Consider the following 17203-nt stretch of genomic DNA (forward strand, 5'->3'; position numbering starts at 1 on the left):
CTGGGCCAGGCCACTGGAATGTTCTCTGATGAGACTTGCATGGGCAGTCTCACTCGCAGCCTTGCTTGATGTCCCAGGACAGCTCCTGTCTGCCCACTGCAGATTTCGCAGGCTCAGGCCTTGGAGCAGCATCACTCAGTGCAAGCTTGAAGCTGTGGGCAGAAAGGTCAGGAGCTGCTCAGCCCCCCATTCTCTCACTTCCTGTGAAGAAATTGGTGGGACCAAAGATGGCGGATGCACCCCGGAAGCATCCTCCAGGGGGAGACCTGTGCTTCCCTGGGGCGGTGGAGGGAGTAAGTGTTCAGGGCAGCCACTTGTCAGGGTGAGAGCTATGCTGAGAGCACCTGGAGAATCTTCCTGGCTAGCAGACAGCCACCTTCTCACTAGATCCTCACGTGGTGGAGAGAGTGCCAGCTCTGGTCTCTTCCTTTTCTTTTTTTCTTTTTTTTTTTTTTTTTTCTGAAACAGGGTCTCATTCTGCCGCCCAGGCTGGAGTACAATGGCATGATCTTGGCTCACTGCAACCTCTGCCTCCCGGGTTCAAGCAATTCTCGTGCCTCAGCCTCCCGAGTAGCTGAGATTACAGGCACCTGCCTCCACGCCTGGCTAATTTTTGTATTTTTAGTAGAGATGGGGTTTCACCACGTTGGCCAGGCTGGTCTCGAACTCCTGACCTCAGGTGATCCTCCCACCTTGGCCTCCCAAAGTGCTGGGATTACAGGCATGAGCCACTGTGCCCGGTCTAGTCTCTTCCTTTTCATATAAGAACACTAAATCCATCCTAGAGGCTCTACCCTCACAACCTAATTACCTCCCAGTGACCCCACCTCCAATACCATCCCACAGGTGGGTTAGAGTTCAACATATGAATTTGGAGTGTGAGAGAAACACAAGCATTCAGTCCATAGCAGAGCCCAATTGTGTCTTTAATAGAATTCATACTAAGCTGCATTTCCAAATACATTTTCCTGTGCTTTTAACTCCATTAAAATAAAGATTCATGAACACAAAACAGTAAAATCAGTAAACCAAACTCCACTCCTGCTGGCTAAATAATATTCCTCCGTAAGAATTGGTGGTTGTTGGGACAATTTCTTGGATTTATTGCCTTTCCCGCTTGCTTCTGGCCAGCAGGATCCCCACAAGGCTTGCGGCAGCCAGCAGGCCTGCTGCCACACCTACTGTCGTGACTGCACCAGTGACCTGCAGCAGAAGAGAAGGGAGAGCACACTCAGCATCAGGGCGGGACCACGATACATACACCAGGAAACTACAGCTCAGGAAAGACTCATCTGGCCCAGTCCTCTTCATTTGAATCACAGAGGGAACAAATATTGGCTGGGAGAGGGGATGCCAAGAGGTCAGGCCACCCAGGAAAGAGGAGTGGAGATGTCTGGTGGGCACAGAATGAATGGAAGAATGAAGCCATAGGCGTGATATACACAGAGTCAAAGGAGGAAAACCAGATGCACCTGTGGGTATTAAAAGCATAATAGGTCGGGCTCAGTGGTTCACACCTGCAATCCTCACACCTTGGGAGGCTGAGATGGGCCGATTGCTTGAGCCCAGGAGTTCAAGACCAGCCTAGGCAACATGGTGAGACCCCCATCTCTACAAAAAAATACAAAAAAAAAAAAACAGCTGAGTCCAGGTGGTGCACACCTGTAGTCCCAGCTACTCAGGAGGCTGAGGCAGGAAGATGACTTGAGCCCAGGAGGCGGAGGTTGCAGTGAGCCAAGATTGCACCACTGCATTCCAGCTTGGGTGACAAAGTGAGTCCCTGTCTTAAAAAATAACAATAATAATTAAAGCAAAAAGCATAGTAAACCCCCAGCAAGGACAGAGGGGCAGTGCCCCAATGTTCTAGGTCAGGGCTGGCTGACTGGGGCCCTTGAGGCAGATATGAAGTTGGGAAATCACCCCTGGGAACTCTCACTACACAGGCTTGAGGGCAGGGAGCTCGCCTGGATTGGTCTCAATGTCCCAGGTGCTGATCCCACTGCCAGGCACAGAGTCGGCACTCATAATTCATCTGCTGAACAAATGCTGGCCCATGAGGAGCATTGAGGGTGTGCTTTAATGAGTAAGATTGTCTCACTTATGTGCTGGCAGGAAATGGTTCTGCAAAAGGAAGAAGAAACTGAAAAAACCACAGAGATGTGAGGCCGACCCCCGAGGGTTGGTGTGCTCGGCACAGCTTTTGGGAGCTAGCCGAGACAGTCTGCTGCGATCCTGTGGGTCTGCCCTGCCTGGGCCACTGTCTCTGAGAGACTAGCACTGGAGCGACTGGGGGAAACAACACGGGGTGGGGGGTGGGGGTGAAAACTGTGAGAATGGCTGCTTTCTAGATATCAGCACTGTGCTGGGAACTCTCCAGGCCCAGTATTTTTTTTAATCTGCCTGACAACTCTAGGAGGTAGTGATTCTAATTCCTACTTTCCAGAGGAGAAGACTGAGGATGGACAGTGTAAAGAACTCACGCAAAGGCCGGGGGGGCGGTGGCTCACACCTGTAATCCCAGCATTTTGGGAGGCTGAGGTGGGCAGATCATTTGAGGTCAGGAGTTCGAGACCAGCCTGGCCAACATGGTGAGACCCCCGTCTCCACTAAAAAAAATTAGCCAGGCATGGTGGCGGGTGCCTATAATCCCAGCTACCTGGGAGGCTGAGGCAGGAGAATTGCTTGAACCCAGGAGGCAGAGGTTGCAGTGAGCCAAGATCACGCCACTGCACTCCAGCCTTGGTGACAGAGTGAGACTATGTCTCAAAAAAAAAAGAAAAAAAAAAAAAGAACTCACGCAAAGCCACACAGCTGACAAGTGACAAGGCTCAGATCTGCCTGACTTCCCAACAGGGGCACTTAAGCCCTTCACAGACAGGGAAGCAAGTATTTAAACCAGCGACCAAATAGCAGATTTCTGTGGAGTATCAATGAATTTGAAGCATGTGAGTGACTGGGGAAAAGAAAGGGGGAAAAAAAACCATTTTATTCAAATACACTCAGAATTGTTTCCAAGTGTCAAAGACAAACAAAGCCAGACATAACTTAAGACAGCAAAAACAGATTTGATTCAGTCTCTACTGACAGCAGGGAAAGAGCTGAGCTCCATTCCAATTTGTGCAGAGGTGACTGACATTGTAAAGGGAGATGGAGGAGTAGGGAGACGGGTGAGCGAGGGCTCATAGAGTCAGGGAGGTGAAATATTACAAAGGATTAGTCCCTGAATATGCGATGAGGCCAGCTGTGTCTGCTAGCTGGCAATTATCAAAGTTAGGATTCTAACCTCCCACGGATATTGGGGACAGAGGCTCTATCCTTCCTGATGATTATATTTCAAAGGACTGGCTCTCAGGTCCTTGAGGAAGGCACTTCAGAGTTGTAAGGGATATACAGTCAGCCCTCCATATCCATGGATTCCACATCCATGGATCCAATCAATTGTGGATTGAAAACATTTGGAAAAAAAATTTTTTAAAGAACAATAAAAAATAATACACATTTTTAAAATACAGTATAACTACTTACATTGCATTGAGTATTATGAGTAATTATGAGTGGCTCATGCCTGTAATCCTAGCAGTTTGGGAGGCCAAGGCAGGTGGATCACTTAAGCCCAGAAGATTGAGACCAGTCTGGGCAATATGGTGAAACCCCATTGCTACAAAAAAGAAATACAAAAATTAGCCGGGTGTGGTGGCGTGTGCCTGTAGTCCCATCTACTCAGGAGGCTGAGGTGGGAGGATCCCCTGAGCCCAGGAAGGTTGAGGCTGCAATGAGGTGAGATCACATTTCAGTGAAGCACCTCTGCACTCCAGCCTGGGTGACAGAGTGAGATGCTGTCTCGAAAATAAAATAAGTACATGGGAGGATGTGCACAGGTTATATGCAAATATCATACCATTTTATACAAGGGACTTCAGCATCCATGGATTTTGGTGTCCTCAGGGGGTCCTGGAATCAATCCCTTCCCCACCCATGGATACCAAGAGATGACTGTATCTATGTTTCAAAGGGACAGAGGAAGGATTCATAATTATAAGTCCTTTGTAATAAACAGTCTAAGAAAGGGTCAGGGTCTTTGTCAGGTGTTCGTTAGAACAAATGGTAAATTCTCCTGGCAGCAGAGAGCTTTCTTAGGCAGGCATTTATCGGGGGGCTAGGGTCATCCTACGGACACAGCCTTATTTTGCCAGAAGCAGTGCTAGAGCTTGGTCATCTATTAGAGCAGGGGCTGGATGGCGTTGTTGTGTGCCAAGAGTCCTGCAGCTTTCACAAGTCCACTTTCTTACAGAGCAAGAGCTAGAGACAGACAGAGGAGAGTCTTTCCAGACAGACAGAGTCAGATGAGAAGGAAGGAGGGAGAGGAAGAAAGAAAGGCAAGTTATTGGGTGACCTGCAGGAGATGAAGTTCAACAAGAGAGGCTCCAGGACAAGGGACAAACTAAATAAAACTGCCTCCCCTGAGTCTTCCCCATTGGCTTGAGTTCTGACCCCTCAGAAGCATAGCAGAGGGCCAACCACTTCCTAAAATTGGGGTCTTCCAGATTGATTTTGTGGCTTCTGCACAGCCTATAGAAGAGCTTTTAGATGTATGATAAGGCAGCCCACCCCCAATCCCCTTCCGACACCCCTCCCATTCAGAGATAGGTCTACCCTCCTCAGCTCAACAGAGGGGAGACCCTGTCAGCAGGGTTCCCACTGAGTACCAGAGCATGTCCCACCGTGCCCCAGTGCCCAGCATGGCCTGGCAGTCTCTCAGTTAATAGCGTGGTCTCCCTCCTGGGGTACTTGTTTCCAGAAGTTGTGGATTTTCCTTACCCATCTCCCCTTTTTATCACCTCTCCTTCTCCTATCATACAACAGAACAGCTAAATCCTCCCACACCCTGAATCTACGGTGCACAGGCTAAGGTGTAAACACTCCTAGTCACCAGTAAGGGAGGATTCAAGAATGCATTGCTCCTAAACAAAGAGGGCTTCAGAAAGGAATATGCAACCACGTCGAGGCTCCTGCCTCATCTGTCTGCTGCTTTAGAATGAGAATTCTAAAGTGAGATGGTTATCATGAAACTGTGCATTAACACACTCATTTGAATTGAAAAATTGTCAGTTTTTTTCTGAACGTCAAAATAAGCCTGATTAGGCTGATTGGTTTGACAATAACACCTGGCTCGGCTATTTAAACTACACGGAAGACATTTTTCCCTAACTGAATGAGCTAAATGTGCAACTCCAAGATTGTGAAGAAAACATGTACACAAATATGTAATATGCAATATACCAAAATCCATCCTTTCCTTTACAAATTTTTTACATTTATGATTTTTTAAAGTGTTTGATGTCATCTAAGAATGTATGAGGGGATATGTGGTTTTTTAAGTTATCTTGGACTGAGTGTGGTGGCTCACACCTGTAATCCCAAGGGAGGCCGAGTCAAGGGGATTGCTTGAGCCCAGGAGTTCAAGACCAGCCTGGACAACATGGCAAAACCTCATCTCTACAGAAAAATCCAAAAATTAGCCAGGCATAGTGGCACATTCCTGTAGTCCCAGCCACTCAGGAGACTGAGGTGGGAGGATTGCTTGAGCCCAGGAGGTCGAGGCTGCAGTGAGCCATGATCGAACTCCACATGATATACTGCAGTCTGGGTGACAGAGTGAGACTCTGTATCAAAAAAAAAAAAGTTTGTGAGACCCTGTATCCAAAAGTTGGCCAACTATGGCCCATGGGTCAAATCCAACCTGTGAACTATTTTTGTAAAAAATAAATAATACACTTATTGGAAGACAGTCTCGCCTGTTCATTTATATATTGTCTGTGGCTGCTTTTGTGCTGCAAACTACGGCAGCAGGGTAATAAGACAGAGAACACCTGGCCCATAAAATCGAAGACATTTACTATCTGGCCCTTTACAGAAAACAATTGCCCAACATGATCTGGGCTTTTCCCCTTCCTGGCTCACGCTGTTCCCTCTGCCTACACTCCTTATTGCCCCCGTTCCCTGGTAATCTCCAGCTCATTTTCTTTCAGATTAATCAAAATAATTAAATCAGGCTGGGCTCGGGTGTGACCTCTTCTACAAAGCCTTCCTTGATCGGGGCCCTTGGAGAGAACACATGTAGGTTTAACTCCCCCGCTCTTCACCATGGCTGACATGGACTAGAGACTCAATAACTAGGAGTTTAATGAATTTGGACAAGTTACTTAAGCACGGTGAGCCTCAGTTTCCCCATCTGTAAAGTGGGAATCATAAAGCCGGCCTCTAGGGCTGTGGAGGGCTGTTTCAGGCTGTGACTCCCTTCTGTGGCCACCCCCCAACCCACTGCACTGGTCTACATTGCCGACTTGCCTATCTCCCCACCCTTGTCCCCACCCCAAATGTGACACCCTCAAGGACAACAGTTTCATATCTGCTATTTTGTCTTGCTCATGTCTATTTCCATCCCACCCTGGCCCCAGCAGGGACCCAGCCTCTGGCAGCTGAGGGAGTGGCCTGGCTCCTGGGAAGGGGATGCAGGCTGAAGATGCACCTGGTCACTGCGGGAGACGCCATAGCGCAGATGGTTCACGAAGTGCTCGCAGTTGTCACTGGTCAGCGAATAAGGCAACTCCTGCCCCACCAACTCCTCTGCCCGCTTGACGATTTTGTTGGAAGGCAGTGGTGTGTATCTGTCATCGTGCTTGTTATTGACCCTGTAGTTGTCTCCCCCAGCCACCACAGACAGCAGTTCCTTCTTCACTATGGCTTTGTTGGTCAGGGCAGACAGGACACTGGCCGCACCAGCTCCAGCAATTTCACCTGTGCAAACAGTGAGTTCAGTCCTGGGCAGGGCCTGGGGGGCTCAGAGCTGGAAGCCAAGCAGCCTCATCGCCCCGAGCACCATCAAGGAGGAGCAGCTGTGGAAGGACTTGTCCATCCTGCCTGGCCTCAAACTTGAAAACAGGGAAGACCCAAGCCTGGGTGACTTTGGAGAAGGTCCCTAAGTTCTGGTTTCCTCATTTCTAAAGTAAACAACCTGAGCTCTAAAGGACCATGTGAGTTCAGATATACCTGAAAGAGTCAACAGTCAAGGCAGTGTGGTACAGGGCAAAGAGAGGAGGCAGAAGAGCCCCAGGCCATAGTCCCAACTGCCGCTCACTAGCTTGTGGCTTAGAAAAAGTCACTCCAGGCCAGGTGCCTGTAATCTCAGCACTTTGGAAGGCCAAGGCAGGAGGAACACTTGAGGCCAGGAGTTGGAGACCAGCTTGCACAATATGCTAAAACTCCTGTCTCTAAAAATAAAAATTAAAAAAGTAGCTGGGCATGGCAGCACATACCTGTAATTCTAGCTACTCCGGGGGCGAGGCTGGAGGATTGCTTTAGCGCCGAAATTACAGGCTGCAGTGAGCTGTGATTGTGCCACTATGCTCCAGCCTGGGCAGCAGAGTGACACCTTGTCTCCAAAAAGGTAAAGAAAAGAAAATGTCACCCATTGCCCTGAGCCAGTGCTGTGGGAGCTCCAGTAGGTGAGGGTGGCATTTTGAAACAGTAGGAAAGGAAACAGCTGAACAAGACAGAAGCCTGTCCCAGGAATCCAGGGTCCCCAGGTCCTGGCCGTGGCTCTCTTACTGTGTGTCTTCAGAAAAAGCCCTTCTCATCTTGGGACCCTGGTTTCATCATTTTCAAATTAGAGGAACTAGGCCAGGGGATGTCCATGCCCTCCAGCTTTAAATTCTCCAATTGGCCTCTAAAGGGGACCCCAGACTCCTGGGAAGCTGAACTTAGTGATGTGAAGCCGCATGCTCAAGGCACACAGTCTGTAAGCAGAGGAGCCACAATTCCAAACTGGTTCTGTTGAGTTGGGAGGCCCACATGCTCCTTCCGTTATACTATGTGCTCAGTTGTACGCTATCTGAAGGAAGCAACTGCTTCTTACTCTTGCTTGTACCTCCATAACAACAAATACATAGGAGATCCCACGGAGGGATGCTCACCAAGTACAGTGAGTTGGTTCAGACTGAACCCCACTCTATAATGGAATAAAGGTCAATAGTCTCTCCACCAATTTACTGCAAAAGAAGAATAGCAGTTGCTACATCTAGCAGGAAAAAGCACAATTCATTCAGCATTATGTATTGAGTGCCTACTCTGCTAGACCCTGAAGTGAGGACAAGCACGTAACTGTGCATCTCTTCACATTCTTGATCTTAACCCTTGTGCTTAAAAAGAGAACCCATCCTTACTTGCCGGAGCCAGATGGACCACATAGCCATCTCCCACGTAGATGGCCCAGTGTGCATAGCCAAAGCGAGAAATCTCAATCAGGTCTCCAAGTCTCGGTCTTGGTCTGGCCTGCAACAGAAAAACCAGAAACAGGCAGAGGTGAGCCATCTGCAGGAAACATTCTAGGGCCTGACCTGCAAGGAGCCCCAGCTCAGCCTGCAGATTCCCTGTGCTCATCACCTGCAGGAAACAGGAAGGAGGGAGCACTCCTCACATATGTAGGAAGCACCTTCATTTACTGGGGCTGCAGGACTGAAAAGTTGCTCTTCAGGGGACAAGGAGGAGATGAAGAGAGTATCTTTGAGGGAGATTTTCATGCATGTGCAGCACAGGAGTGTGATGGAGTGATGTGCCCAGGCTGAGTGTGAGTGCATTTTATGCACAGAGTATGTTTTTGTCAGCTAGTGACTGCATGATTCCGAAGGAAGCCTAAAATGCCTCTTTAAGGGCCACCTGCCATGAGCCTGGGCCCAAGTGATTCCTACAAGTTCTAGAGGTCTGACTTGCAACGCCCAACATGTCAGAGGCAGGCGGACACTTGACCCACATTACACACCACTCCTTTGGGTGAAAACTATCATTACCCCCACTTGACAATGAGCACATGGAGTCTCAGGAACGTTAGGTAACTTGCCTAATAAGTAGAAGAGCAGGAATGAAGGGTAGGGCTGAATGTTTCCAACATTAATGCCTTTAACCATCCCAGAATGTCCTAGGCAAGCCCAGGGCAGCTGAAGTCTGAGCTCAGGCTAAAATTAAAGCAAGGGATGGCAGGGTGTGTTTGGAGTTGGTGGTAGGGCAGTGCCCCTCTGGAGGGTGCATGGGTGCGAGGAATGTTGCCCTGGCCACACCCAGAATGGGAGACAGCCCTTGCCACATAAATTCTGTTTCCGGTATGCTCTGGTGCCAGCCAGCACCCCTCCTCCCCCTATCTCAGCTGAGCCAAGCCACAAAGGAGTTGAACTGCTGCCGAGGGTGGTGAGAGTGCCAGCCAACTCAAAGTCTGGTGGGGAGCTATAGTTAAAAGTAAAGCCTTTCATTTGAAGTAATTTGGATGGAATTGGAGATCATTATTCTAAGTGAAATAACTCAGTAATGGAAAATCAAACATCCTATGTTCTCACTCGTAAGTGGGAGCTAAGCTATGAGGACGCAAAGGCATAAGAATCATACAACGGACTCTGAAGACTGAGGGAAAAGGGTGGGAGTGGGTGAGGAATAAACGACTACACACTGGGGCTGGGTGTGGTGGCTCACGCCTATAATCCCAGCATTTCAGGAGGCCGAGATGGGTGGATTGCCTGAGGTCAGAAGTTTGAGACCAGCCTGGCCAACATGGTGAAACCCCCATCTCTACTAAAAATACTAAAATTAGCTGGGTATAGTGGCAGGTGCCTGTAATCCCACCCACTTGGGAGGCTGAGGCATGAGAATTGCTTGAACCCGGGAGGCAGGGGTTGCAGTGAGCAGAGATCGTGCCACTGCACTCCAGCCTGGGCGATAGAGTGAGACTCCATCACAAAAAAAAAAAAAAAAAAAAAAAAAAAGACTACGCATTGGGTACCGAGTACACTGCTGAGATGATAGGTACACCAAAATCTCAGACATCACCACTAAAAACTAATTTATGTAACCAAATACCACATGTTCCCCCCCAGAACCTCGAAATTTAAAAAAAAGTAAAGCCTTTGACTAGAGGGGTCAAGAGTCAACTTGACCAAATAAGGGACAATTTGAGCATCAAAAAAAAATAATAAAAATAACTGTACACAAACTGAAACACATCAAATATGTTAAAACCCACGTGTTCATAAGGATATTTTTTAAAAACACTAGGCATCTTTGGAGGATGGAAAAGAATCACCCTATTATTCCAAAAGCTGGTAAATAAAGGAAAAGATTCAAGCATTTCCTAACTGAATTGTCCTCACGGAATGCAATTTAAAACTACAACAAACCCCAAAGCTACAAACCAATACTTGTAAGGTAGCCATATATGTATGCAAAAACAGAAAAATATTTGGAAGAATACGCACCAGGTTGTACAGAGGGGAAAGGCTGTACAGATGGGAAGGATGGTCAAAGGGGACATTAGTTTTTATGCTAATAGTTTTGGTTTTTGGCTTTTGGCTTTTTTTGAGACATGATCTCATTTTGTCACCCAGGCTGGAGTGCAGTGGCACTATCACAGCTCACTGCAGGAAGCCTCAGCCTCCCCAGCTCAAGTGATCCTCCCACCTCAGCCTCCCAAGAAGCTAGGACTATAAGCACATACCATTATCCTTGGCTAATTTTAATATTTTTTGTAGGGATGGGATCTCACTATGTTGCCCAGGCTAGAGTTTCGGTTTTTCAGACAAAGTGAATGTGTTCACGTATTTCTCCTGGAATTAAATACATTCTTTCTTTTTTAAGTCGAAGCTTTAGAGTCAGAGCCTCCTAAGTTCGAATTCCCTCTCTGACTTTTGGGCAGCCCCCTCTCTATACTTACCAGTATATCATTCCTCCTATCCATGAAGTTGGCAGTAATTATGCCTACTTCATAGGATTGCTTATTAACTACCTGGTGTGGATTAAATAAAAGAAGTGTTTAGCATGGTGTCTGGACCCCTGAGCACTTGGGAAATGTGGCTGCTATTGGGTCTAAAGGAAGAAGGAAACTAAGAAGGAATTGGAGGGAAGGAGGGAAAGTAGAGGGACTGGCCCTGCCTGGAGGCGAGGGAGACAGAGCCCTTTCTGACAGCCCCCATTGCCACCCACACAGCTGGAGCCCTTTCCCTGGACCCTCCCTCCCCAGCTAATCCCTCCCACTGAGGATGATGTGACAGAGGAGGCGGCCTGTGGGGTAAACCAAGGGCTGCTCTCCCTGAGCCCACCATTCCTGCCTTCAGGAGGCTTAGCAGAGCCACTGGTAGTTTGGCCAGAGGAGGGCTTGGAAAAGCATAAACGCAAACTTTGGCCACAGTAGAACCAGACCCCATGCGGCAGCTGAGGCTGGGGAGCCTCCAGGGTCATAACCCAGCACCGTGGTTCCTTCCCACAGTGTCTGAGAGAGCCAGACCCCCAGAACTCAGCATGTGCCCATGTGCCCTCCATGCCAGAGCTGTAGACCAACAAGAATACACATAATCATCACTAATAGGGTGGTTGTTCCTCAAATCAAAGCTTTAAAACCGTTTCTGGGGACTTACCAAAGCCATCCTTCCTTCAAGATGATGTCTTGTGTGTTGCTGACTCTGTGTCCAGCCTTAAATTAGCTCTGAGTTTCACTTTCCCTGTGACCCAGCCCATATACAACTATTTCAGAACATAGGCTGGGTGCGGTGGCTCACACCTGTAATCCCAGCACTTTGAGAGGCTGAGGCGGGAGGATCACAAGGTCAGGAGATCGAGACCATCCTGACTAACACGGTGAAACCCCGTCTCTCCTAAAAAATAGAAAAAATTAGCTGGGCATGGTGGTGGGCACCTGTAGTCCCAGCTACTCCAGAGGCCGAGGCAGGAAATGGCGTCAACCCAGTAGGCAGACCTTGCAGCGAGCAGAGGTCGTGCCACTGCACTCTAGCCTGGGCGGCAGGGCGAGACTCAGTCAAAAAAAAAAAAAAAAAAAAAACAGAACATAGATCAAGGTTCATGTAAAATTTTCCCTGTCTTCAAACAGGGGCAGAGCACATATCAAGTAGGCAAGGCGGCATGAAAATCAGCCAGACAGAAGAGGAATCAGAGCTCAGGATATAGATTGAGAAGGACTTAGTGGCAGTGTGGTCAGGGGCACAGCTGACAATCACCAAGTTTCAGGTGGAACAAGCAAGATCCAGTGGTTGTGGGGGCAAGGGAGGATATAGAGACAGAGACCATGGGGGAAAATTTCAAAAAGGAGAGAGGAGCCCCAGAGAGACTGAGATTCATGCCTCCAAATTGGGAATGATGGTTGCCGGGACAGGCAAACATTTCCACCAACCTCAAACCCCATGGCCCTAGAAAAATCGTATTATTGGAGGCACATTCCTCTACCCTGGAAACAGAGTGAGCCTGCTTGGACAGCAGTATAGAAACCACTCCCCTTTCTGCCTCTCACCCACAGTTCAGAAACACTCATTCCACACCAAATGGAAACCAAAACCCAGTACTGGGTGTGTAGAGGTTGCTTCTTTGAGGCACCTGCATGCTTATCTCACCCAAGCTCCAAATAAGTATCTCTTCTGTCATCTACATATAGTTGTCCGGTCCTGAGCAAACTGGACAGGAAGGGGTGGGTGGGGCTGGGGGGAGCTGAGCATCCTCACTGTGGGGCATGGGGGCGAGGACCAATAACTTACCCTCTTCAGGCTATAAACAAACAAACAAACAAAGAGCTTTAGTGTGGGGATGCAGATGGACTGGAGCCAGAACTGGAAAACTCTTTGGGAGCCACAGCAGTTCTGCATGACCAGCTACTCCCTCAGCTCACGTGGTCATGTGGTCTTGCTCCCATGGAGACGGCCTCTCTCAGCACCTCCACTCCATTCTCCTCTGAGTTGCAGTGGGACAATCTTCAAAGTATTCCTTCTGGAGGGAGACAGTAGGGTTGGCTTGGCTAATTATCTCCTGCCCCATTGTCCAGAGACCTCTGGGCCGGTCCCACTCAGGCTTGCTGATCATCTTTTTAGGGGCTGACCTCCAGTCCAGCAATCTCAGTTCTTCCTATGCCTGCCCTCCCCTTGCAACCACATCACACCCCTGTTTCCTGGGGCAGGAGGACTTCCACGTGCTGTCTGCTGAAAGGATCTCAGGTGGGTTGGCACAATGACCAACCAGACCATGCAGGGCGGAGTTGGGGAGGAACATCACTGTACTCATGCTGGGGCTTGTGGCTTTTCACCGAATCCAAGCTGTTCAGAGTGTCAGGAAATTATGTCCAGGAGCTATAGGAAAGGAGAGTCTGCAAATCAAGGGCCAGTGGAATGAGAATTCTGCTGTCTCCCTACTGTTCATGCTGAGCAGGAAAGGTGACAAAGTTCTACTGACAGAGAACAGGGTAGGGCAGGCCACACCCAGCCTGCTGGTAAGCTCTAGGCCTACAGCCTGGAATACTTACATTTTTGTTCACATGCACGCTCTCTATGTTTGTTTAATTGTATAAAAGGCTATAAAAGGAAAGATAAGCCTCCATTCTCCCCACCTCCAGCCTCCAGCCTCCAGCAACCCAGTTCCCCTTTCTAGAGGCAATGTTATCTTTCTATGTACATGCCAGGAATATCTTGGGCTACATATAATTTTAATGGGCTTTGGCCGGGCACAGTGGCTGATGCCTGTAATCCCAGCACTTTTGGAGGCCAAGGTGGGTGAATCACTTGGGTCAGAAGTTCGAGACCAGCCTAGCCAACATGGCAAAACCCCGTCTCTACTAAAAATACAAAAATTAGCTGGGCTTGGTGGCGCACGCCTGTAGTCCAGCTGCTCGGGAAGCTGAGGCAGGAGAATCTATTGAACCTGGGATGCAGAGGTTGCAGTGAGCCAAGATCACGCCACTGCCCTCCAGCCTGGGTTACAGAGTGAGACTATGTCTCAGAAATAAATAAATAAATAAATAAAGGATTTTATTAAATCTTATATCCATATAGAAGAATAATTGCAACATAAGTATAAAACACTAGAAATAATAACAAAACAGGTACCAATAAACCTAGTTGAAGAAATAGAAAATAACCAATTTCTTAAATAAGCCCTGTGTCCCACAAAAACCTGTCCACAGATGTTCATAGCAGCCGTGGTGGTTAATTTGTTGTGTCAATCCGACAGGGCCATGGGGTGCCCAGATGCTGTGTGATGTCTGGGCATGTCTGTTGAGGTGCTTCCAGATGAGATCAGCATTTGAATTGGTGGAATGGGTGAAGCAGATGACCCTCCCTTATGTGAGTGGGGAGCATCAATCTGTTGAGGGCTTGATTAGAACAAAGCTAGAGGAATGAGAAATTCGTCCCCTTTTCGTCTGCCTCACTACTTGTGTTGAGATAGCTCACCTCATCTTCTGCCCTCATACTGGGATTTACTCTATCGGCTCCCTGGATTCCCAGGTCTTTTGACGCAGACGGAATGATACCACTGCCTTTCCTGAGTCTCCAGGGTCTCTAGCCTGCAAACAGCAGATGGTGGGACTTCTCAGCCTCTGTGATTGCTGCAGCAGCTAATTTTTTGTAAGAAATCTTGATGGGGCCGGGCATGGTGGCTCACGCCTGTAATCCCAGCACTTTGGGAGGCCGAGGCGGGCGGATCACGAGGTCAGGAGATTGAGACCATCCTGGCTAACTCGGTGAAACCCCGTCTCTACTAAAAAATACAAAAAAAAACAATTAGCTGGGCGTGGTGGTGGGCACCTGTAGTCCCACCTACTCCGGAAGCTGAGGCAGGAGAACTGCATGAACCCGGGAGGCGGGGCTTGAAGTGAGCCAAGATGGCGCCACTGCACTCCAGCAGAGGTGACAGAGCGAGACTCCATCTCAAAAAAAAAAAAAAAAGAAATCTTGATGGATAGATAACCTCCCATTGGTTCTGTTTCTCTGAAGAACCCTGACTAATACTCAGCATTATTCATAATTGCCAAAAGGTGACACCCAAGTGTTCATCAACTGACGAATAAATGACGAAATGTGGTATATTCGTATGATGTGATATTATTCAGCCATAAAAAGGAAGTACTGATACATGCTAAAATATAGAGGAAGCTTGAAAACATGATAAGTGAAAGAAGCTGGTCACAAAAGCCATATAGTATATGATTCCATTTATTTGAACTGTCAAGAATGGGAAAACACACAGAGACATAAAGCAAATTCATGATTGTAATGATTATTTAGGGATGGAAGGGCTAGGGGATTCAGGTTGTGTTTCTTTTTAGGTGATGAGAAGGTTTTAAAGTTGATTGTGGTAATAGTTTCATGACTGTGAACATGCTAAAGGGCATCGAATTATATACTTTAGTAAGTGAACTATATGGTACTGAGGCAGGATAGATAGTCAAGGAGATGACCACGTCCTTGGGACATGGCAACCACACTGTCAACAGCACAATGAGCCCTGTAACCATGTTCATTGGGACATAGCAACCGCACCAACAACACAACAAACCTCAGCACTCACATTGTAATCAAGCTCATCCAAGCAGAACTACCTTCACTGGGGACTTTCCCCTGTAGAGAGCATGTGCATTTTCACTTTGCTTGTCCTCAGAATGACCCTTTGCTCATTATAATAGTAAAAAACACACCCCTGGGTAGAGATTTAAGACGGCAATGAGACATGCAATGTATGAACAAGCATGTACAGCAACTGCTCATGTGCACCCAGAGGACCACCCAGAACATGATTACTAGGAACACACCTCTTCCCACCCACTATGAATAATCACATAAGACTCTCATAAAGGGAGTTCCCTCAGAGCCAGTCTTTGCTGACTCACTCTTGATCAGCCCACTCTGACTTATCTTTCAGAGTGTACCTTTCAGAGTGTATCTTTCAGAGTTTTATCTTTGCACTAAATTACTTTCAGCTGTTTCTTTTTACACTCAGCTTTCAGAGTGTTCTTTCTCTTTTGCAATACATTGCTTTCTGTTGTTCCTCTATGGTTGTGTCTCTTGTTAAAATTATTTTAACCAAGAAGACAAGAACAGAGGTCTCACAATCACCGTCAACAGTATGTAAATTATACCTCAGTGAAGCTATTACCAAAAAAATTAACCCTGTGTTCCTCTTCCTCCTAATGCAGTTGTAGCCACTCTCCTGAATTTTGTCTCTATTGTCCTATTGATTTTTAAATTTTTTTATAAACACATCCCTTAATAATATATAAATGTAATCCTTAACAATATACATTTAGTTTATAATTTTTAAAGTTTGTAAAAGTAGAATCAAACATCAAGCATTCCATAACAATATTTTTGGTTCAATATTAGGTTTCATACCCATGTTGATTGGCCATAGCTATTCATTCATTTGCATGGTACTCCCATGTGGCAAATGGGAATGTGCCACAGTTTACTTATCCTGACTCCTGTCAACAATCACTGGAGGTTGTATATAGTCCATTCTCACACTGCTATGAAGAAATACCCAAGACTGGGTAATTTATAAAGGAAAGAGGTTTAATTGACCCACACTTCCACATTGCTGGGGGGCCTCAGGAAACTTACAGTCATGACAGAAGGCAAAGGAGAAGCAGGCACCTTCTTCACAGGGCAGCAGGATGGAGTGAGTGCAAGCAGGGGAAATGCCAGATTCTTATAAAACCACCAGATTGGCCGGGTGCGGTGGCTCACGCCTGTAATCCCAGCACTTTGGGAGGCCGAGGCAGGCGGATCACGAGGTCAAGAGATCAAGACCATCCTGACCCACATAGTGAAACCCCATCTCTACTAAAAATACAAAAATTAGCTGGGTTTGGTGGTGCAAGTCTGTAGTCCCAGCTACTCAGGAGGCTGAGTCATCAGAATCGCTTGAACCCGGGAGGCGGAGGTTGCAGTGAGCCAAGATCGCACCACTGCACTCTAGCCTGGTGACAGGGCAAGACTCCATCTCAAAAATAAATAAATAAATAAATAAAAATAAGATCTCACAAGATTCACGTACCATCATTAGAACAGCATGGGGGAACCACCCCCACGATCCCATTACCTCCACCTGGTCCTGCCTTTGACACGTGGGAATTACAATTCAAGATGAGATTTTGGGTGGGGACCACCGCCAAACCATATTAGGGGTGTTCCCAGTGTGTCACCATTACTGAACAGGTTACTGTTAATACTCTCCATAGTATGTTTTGATAAACAGATGTTCTTATCTAATGTAATGAAATTTATCTCTTTGTACCTTACTTTTTGTCTTTATTTTTTGTGCTTATGAACTACAGTAAGGTCATAAAGATGTTCTCCTGTATTTGCTTCTAAAAATTGACATTTGGCCAGGC

General features: G+C 47.4%; 1 protein-coding gene across 2 annotated transcripts, besides 5 other annotated features; it reads right to left on the minus strand.

Annotated features, from left to right (window-relative positions):
• Window positions 1-907: 907 nt before the first annotated feature.
• On the minus strand, window positions 908-13208 carry PLAAT2 (phospholipase A and acyltransferase 2). Of its 2 annotated transcripts, XM_011545120.3 has the most exons (5): window positions 12920-13208; window positions 12582-12810; window positions 8223-8331; window positions 6530-6798; window positions 908-1203 (listed from the first exon to the last, which is right to left on the minus strand). In XM_011545120.3, exons 2-5 carry the CDS (start codon window positions 12687-12689, stop codon window positions 1102-1104), a joined length of 588 nt encoding a protein of 195 aa, XP_011543422.1. In that variant the 5' UTR covers window positions 12690-12810; window positions 12920-13208; the 3' UTR covers window positions 908-1101. The 2 variants fall into 2 exon arrangements, with proteins under 2 accessions (XP_011543422.1, NP_060348.1); NM_017878.2 differs by lacking the exons at window positions 12582-12810; window positions 12920-13208 and adding an exon at window positions 11454-11517.
• Window positions 2113-2232: an enhancer, noted in NCBI's record as "active region_4871". NCBI's record gives its function as "activates an Ori minimal core promoter by ATAC-STARR-seq in GM12878 lymphoblastoid cells {active_cell/tissue: GM12878}" and the evidence as "EXISTENCE:reporter gene assay evidence [ECO:0000049][PMID:35858748]".
• Window positions 12474-12553: a silencer, noted in NCBI's record as "silent region_3435". NCBI's record gives its function as "represses an Ori minimal core promoter by ATAC-STARR-seq in GM12878 lymphoblastoid cells {active_cell/tissue: GM12878}" and the evidence as "EXISTENCE:reporter gene assay evidence [ECO:0000049][PMID:35858748]".
• Window positions 15323-15850: a transcriptional cis regulatory region, noted in NCBI's record as "candidate enhancer chr11.2897 targeted for multiplex CRISPR interference". NCBI's record gives its function as "positively regulates PLAAT3 gene expression in K562 cells {active_cell/tissue: K562}" and the evidence as "EXISTENCE:mutant phenotype evidence [ECO:0000015][PMID:30612741]".
• Window positions 15643-15692: an enhancer, noted in NCBI's record as "active region_4872". NCBI's record gives its function as "activates an Ori minimal core promoter by ATAC-STARR-seq in GM12878 lymphoblastoid cells {active_cell/tissue: GM12878}" and the evidence as "EXISTENCE:reporter gene assay evidence [ECO:0000049][PMID:35858748]".
• Window positions 15703-15792: an enhancer, noted in NCBI's record as "active region_4873". NCBI's record gives its function as "activates an Ori minimal core promoter by ATAC-STARR-seq in GM12878 lymphoblastoid cells {active_cell/tissue: GM12878}" and the evidence as "EXISTENCE:reporter gene assay evidence [ECO:0000049][PMID:35858748]".

This window comes from Homo sapiens, chromosome 11 (genome assembly GCF_000001405.40).
Source record: "Homo sapiens chromosome 11, GRCh38.p14 Primary Assembly".
NCBI lineage: Eukaryota > Metazoa > Chordata > Mammalia > Primates > Hominidae > Homo > Homo sapiens.